A 6,852-nucleotide genomic window follows, 5' to 3' on the forward strand; every position below is an offset into this window, starting at 1 on the left:
AAAAAGACCAAACCCAAACCCAGCAGAAGAAGGGAAATAACCAAGATCAGAGCAGAACTAAATGAAATTGAAACAAAAGAAACAATACAAACGATAAATAAAACAAAAAACTGGTCCTTAAAAAGATAAATAAAATTGGTAGACCATTAGCAAGATTATCCAAGAAAAGAGAGAGAAAATCCAAATAACCTCACTAAGAAATGAAACATGAGATATTACAACTAACACTACTGAAATACAAAAGATCATTCAAAGCTTCTAGGAACACCTTTACACACATAAACTAGAAAACCTAGAAGTGATGTCTACATTCCTGAAAAAATACAACCCTCCTAGCTTAAATCAGAAATAATTAGATACCCTGAACAGACCAATAACAAGCAGTGAGAAAAGAAAAGCCCAGGATCTAGCTAACTGAATCCAACAACATATTAAAAAGATAATCCACCATGATCAAGTGGATTTCATACCAGGAATGCAGGGATGGTTTAACATATGCAAGTCAATAAATGTGATACATCACATAACAGAATTTAAAACAATAATCACATGATCATCTCAATAGATGTATAAAAAGCATTAAATAAAATCCAGCATTCCTTTATGATTAAAACTTCAGCAAAATCGGCATACAAGGGACATACCTCAATGTAATAAAAGCCATCTATGACAAAACCACAGCCAACATAATACTGAATGGGAAAAAGTTGAAGGCATTCCCTCTGAGAGCTGGAACAAGGATGCCCGCTCTCACCACGCATCTTCAACATAGTACTGGAAGTCCTAGCCAGAACAATCAGACAAGAGAAAGAAATAAAGGGCATCCACGTTTGTAAAGAAGAAGTCATACTGTCACTGTTTGTTGACGATATAATCGTTTACCTTGAAAAACCTAAAGACTCCTCTAGAAAGCTCTTAGAACTCAAAAGATTTCAGCAAAGTATCCAGATACAAGACATCCCATGCTCATGGATGGGTAGAATATTGTAAAAATGACCATACTGCCAAAAGCAATCTACAAATTCAGTGCATTTCTCATCAAAATACCACCAGCTTCTTCAAACAATTAGAAAAAAAATTTCTAAAATTCATATGGAATCAAAAAGAGCCCGCATAGCCAAAGCAAGACTAAGTGAAAAGAACAAATTGGAGGCATCACACTACCTGATTTTAAACCATATTATAATGCCATAATTAACAAAACAGTGTGGTACTGGTATAAAAATGGGCACATAGACCAATAGAACAGAATAGAGCACCCAGAAATAAAACCAAGTAATTACAGCCAACTGATCTTTGACCAAGGAAACAAAAACATAAAGTGGGGATAATTGACTACCCACATGTAGGAGAATGAAACTGTATCCTCATGTCTCACATTATACAAAAATCAACTCAAGATGGATTAAGGGCTTAAATCTAAGACCTGAAACTATAACAATTCTAGCAGATAACATTGAAAAAACCCTTGTCGACATTGGCTTAGGCAAGGATTTCATGAACAAACCCCAAAAGCTAATGCAGTAAAAACAAAGACAAATAACTGCAACTTAATTAAACTAAAGAGCTTTTGCACAGCAAAAGGAACAGTCAGCAGAGTAAACAGACAGCCCACAGAGTGGGAGAAAAGCTTCACAGTCTATATATCTGACAAAGGACTAATATTCAGAATCTTCAACAAACAAAAACAAATCAGGAAGAAAAAAAAGCAATCCCATCAAAAAGTGGGCTAAGGACATGAATAGACAACTCTCAAAAGGAGATATACAGGGTGGCTCACGCCTGTAATCTCAGCACTTTGGGATGCCAAGGCAGGCGGATCACGAGGTCAAGAGATTGAGACCATCCTGGCTAACATGGTGAAAACCCATCTCTACTAAAAATACAAAAATTAGCTGTGCGTGGTGGCACGCACCTGTAGTCCCAGCTACTCGGGAGGCTGAGGCAGGAGAATAGCTTGAACCCAGTAGGCAGGGGTTGCAGTGAGGCGACATTGTGCCACTGCACTCTAGCCTGGTGACAGAATGAGACTCCGTCTCAAAAAAATAAAATAAAAATTTTCAACATCACTAATGATCAGGGAAATGCAAATCAAAACCACAATGTGATACCACCTCACTCCTGCAAGAATAGCCATAATCAAAAAAATCAATAAACAGTAGATGTTGGCATGGATGTGGTGATCAGGGAACACTTCTACACTGCTAGTGGGAATATAAACTAGTACAACCTCTATGGAAAACAGGGTGGAGATTCCTTAAAGTACTGAAAGTAGAACTACAATTTGATCCAGCAATCCTACTACTGGGTATCTACCCAGAAGAAAAGAAGTCTTTATACAAAAAACATACTTGCACATGCGTGTTTGTAGCAGCACAATTCACGAGAGCAAAATCATGAAACCAACCCAAATGCCCATCAATCAACGAGTGGATAAAGAAACTGTGGTATGTGTGTGTGTGTGTATACGTATATATATATACGTATACACACACACACACACATATATATACATGTATATATACACATATATATATATGATGGAAATCTACTCATCCATAAAAATAAATTTATTAACAGCATTTGCAGTGACCTGAATGAGATTGGAGATCATTATTTTAAGTGAAGTAACTCAGGAATGGAAAACCAAACATCGTATATTCTCACTAATATGTGGAAGCTAAGATATGAGGATGCAAAATCATAAGAATGGTACAATGGACTGTGGGGACTTGAGGGGAAGAGTGTGATGGGGGCGAGAGATTAAAGACTACAAATATGGTGGAGTGTATACTGCTCAGGTGATGGATGCACTAAAATCTCACAAATCACGAATAAAGAACTAAATCATGTAATCAACTACCACCTGTATTCCAATAACTTATGAAAAAAAGTTTAATTTTTTTAATTGGGTAAAAATTTTAATAGACATTTCTCAAAGAAGACATACAAATGGCAAACAGGCATATGAAAAAGTGCTCAATACCATTGCTCATCAGTGAAATGCAAATCAAACCTATAATGAGATATCATCTCACCCCAGTTAAAATGGTTCGTATACAAAAGACAGGCAATAACAAATGCTGGCCAGAATGTGGAGACAAGGAAACCCTACCACACTGTTAGTGAGAATATAAATTATGACAACCACTGTAGAGAACAGTTTGGAGTTTCCTCAAAAAGACTAAAAATCGAGCTACCATATGATCCAGCAATTCAACTGCTGGGTATATATCCAAAAGAAAAGACATTAATATATCAAAGAGATATCTACATTGCCATGCTTGTTGCAGTACTGTTCACAATAGCCAATATTTGGAAACAACCTAAGTGTCTATCAACAGATGAATGGATAAACAAAATGTGGTACATATACACAATGGAGTACTATTTAGCCAAAATAAGAATGAGATCTTGTCATTTTCAACAACATGGATGGAGCTGAATATCAATGTTAAGTGAAATAAGCAAGGCACAGAAAGAAAAACATTGCAAGTTCTCACTTATTTGTGGAATCTAAAAATCAAATCAATTGAACTCATGAACTTAGAGAGTAGAATGATGGTTACCAGAGGCTGGGAAGGGTAGTTGGGGGTGAGGAATTGGGGATGGTTAACAGATATGAAAATATTTAGAAAGAATAAATAAGATCTAATATTTGAAAACACAAAAGGGTGTCTGTAGTCATTAATAACTTAATAATACATTTAAATATAACTTAAAGAGTAAAATTGGATAGTTTGTAACACAAAGGATATATACTTGAGAAAATGGATATACCATTCTCCATGATATTATTGTTATGCATTGCATGGCTGTATGAAAACATCCTATATACATCACAAATGTCTACATTTACTATGTACACACAAAAAATTAAAAATAAAAATTTTACAAAAGAAGAAAGATATATAATAGAAATATAGATGAGGGACAAATTGTTGTTATGTAACTATCTAACTAGTTATCTAGCTAGATGGAGATATATCTACCAGAAAATGTCACATCTAAAATGTATAAAAAACTAATATTATTAAATAATAAAATCAGCCAGTAAGCCCAATAGAAAAGTAGGCAAAAAAGTCTTGCAGAAACTAATTTCATAGAATATGAAAATTGCCAAAAATATCACCTACATCATTAGACATCAGGGAATTGCAAATTGTAACCAAAATGAGACCCATACACACACACACACACACACACACACACACACAGAAACACACACACACCCAGATGGCTACAAATATGCATGTCAAATACAAAATATTTATGGTAATATAAAAAAGTCAAAACTTTAATACACTTTTACGGGGAATGTAAATTAACACAAGTAATTTGTAAAACATTTGAACATACACAGAGCTTATGTCTCAGCAACTACATTCTCACATGCATTCCAACAGATTGGCATATAGCAGGTTTCCAAAAGTCATGCAGTAAATTGTTCCTATCAGCAGAATTTATGGTATTTCTAAACTGGAAGCTACTTAAATGCCCAGTGACAATAGGATGGGAATATAAATTGTGCTGTATTTACACAGTAAAATATTCTACAGTTATGAGATTAAATGAAGTATAAGAAAACATGGCAGAAGATACAAATTTTGCAAATATAATGTTGAGTGAAAAAAGCCAAAAATGAGAGTGTAGTGGTCAGTTTTATGTGTCAATTTAGCTACGCTGTAGTCCCCAATATTCAACAAAACACAAATATAGGTGTTTCTGTGAAGATATTTTGTAGATGTAATTAAAGTTCATAATTGATTGACTTTAAGTAGGAGAAATTTTTCTAGATAATCTTGATGGGCCTGATTCTATCAATAGAAAGTCTTTAAGAACAGAACTGAAGCTTCCCTGGGGAAAATAAATTCTGCATGTGGACTGAAGCTTCAGCCCATGTCTGGAAGTTTCGGTTTTCCTTTTCTAACATCGTCACCTAAGGAATTCAGCCATACATATCCAGCCTCCACAATCATGTAAACCAATTCATTGCAAGAAATTATACATATAATAAGATTATACACACATATATATTATATATATTATTTATTGCAAGGAATACACACACACATATATACACACATATACACACACTACTTACTTTGTTTCTCTGCTTGAAACCAACTGTATCTGGGCTAATACAAGGATTTATTTACATAAAGTACAAAAATTTGCAAAATCAATCTAACCTGTAAAATATTAGGATAGTCGATACCCTTAGTGTAAGTAACAGGAAGAATAATATAGTAACATTCCAGGTTAGCAGTAATATGTGTCTCTTGATCTTGATGCTGGTCATATAAGCATTCACTTTGTTAAAATTCAGTGAGCTCCAACCTTATTTACTATGTATATGAAATTACTTTTCTGTATGCCATACTTTAATAAAACATAGAAAAAAAGGAAGAGATGGAATTAAGAGAATAAGGGAAGTACCAGAATAGATGAACAGCGATTCAGACTTATTAATAAGGCACACTACTCAATTGCTGATAAAACCATTTAGTTGGCATAATGAGACTGTTTCTTGAGTGTTGTAAGAATCTGGAGGCTAGAGTCAACTGCCTCTACTAAGGCATTATGAAGAGGAAGAGTAAGCTAACATATTGAAGGAATTTCCTTATTTATTTATTTATTTATTTATTTAGAGATGAAGTTTTGCTGTTGTTGCCCAGGCTGGAGTGCAATGGCTTTATCTCAGCTCACCGCAACCTCCGCCTCACCGGTTCAAGCGATTCTCCGGCCTCAGCCTCCCGAGTAGCTGGAATTACAGGCATGCGCCACCATGCCTGGATAATTTTGTATTTTTAGTAGAGACAAGATTTCTCCATGTTGGTCAGGCTGGTCTCGAACTCCCCACCTCAGGTGATCTGCCTGCCTCAGCCTCCCAAAGTGCTGGGATTACAGGAATGAGCCACCATGCCTGGCCGGAATTTCCTTATATCTCCTTATTGTCTTTCAATATTTCTTTAGTGTCTTTCATTTTTAGAACCTAATAAAAATGCTGCTAGCAAAGAAATTTGGACAGCAAGTTTTCAAAGTTCTGGTCTTAGGATAACAGAGCAGAGAAAGGTTGATTTGGAACTGAGATTTAGTAGTAAAAAAGAAAAGTAAACAATCTAATATAGTTGTGAGACAAAATGAGATAATGCATTTGAAGTTCTTAGCCAGTGTTTGAAGCATTGGCATACACAAGAAAATATTATTTTTTATGATGTTATAAATATAACCTAAGATATATCAGATGTATCTTGGGACAAAATATTTGGGCACATAAAACACATCATTTTCACCATGTTGGTACAAATTTACTTAGTCTCACTATCTCTAACAAATGGCAGTTCCATGATAAGTCAGAATCCCATAAAGAATTCATGGGAAAAAACATTACCAAGATTGTAACAAGAAAAATTAAAGTAAGAAGCCTATTAGTTTATTTAACGAGAGATTTAAAAATACTAATCCCTCATTCTAACAAGAGTTACATTTTCCCTTATGAATTATCGATCAAATTCTTCAGAAATGATGGCGTGTTATAATCAACCTAGGTTTGATCCTTGATTTGTGCAATCCTTGAATATTATTAAAACAATGCTGAGTCTGATAATTTTCAAATTCAGAAATATAATAAATAGCAAACAACTATTAGCTAAAGAGAAGGCTACTGTGTCAGTTAAGGATTGCCATAGTAGCAAATAGCCCGTATATCTCAGATCCTTACAGTAAAGCAAATGTTTAGTTCTTGCTCATATTACATGTCTCTTACAGGTCTATAGCTCTAAAAATTTCTAAGTAGCACCCAGGATAAAGGCAGTGCCTTTACCTGGTATTTAAAGGTAATGTAGCAAA

The sequence above is a fragment of the Homo sapiens genome, chromosome 3 (assembly GCF_000001405.40).
Source record: "Homo sapiens chromosome 3, GRCh38.p14 Primary Assembly".
NCBI classification, from domain to species: domain Eukaryota; kingdom Metazoa; phylum Chordata; class Mammalia; order Primates; family Hominidae; genus Homo; species Homo sapiens.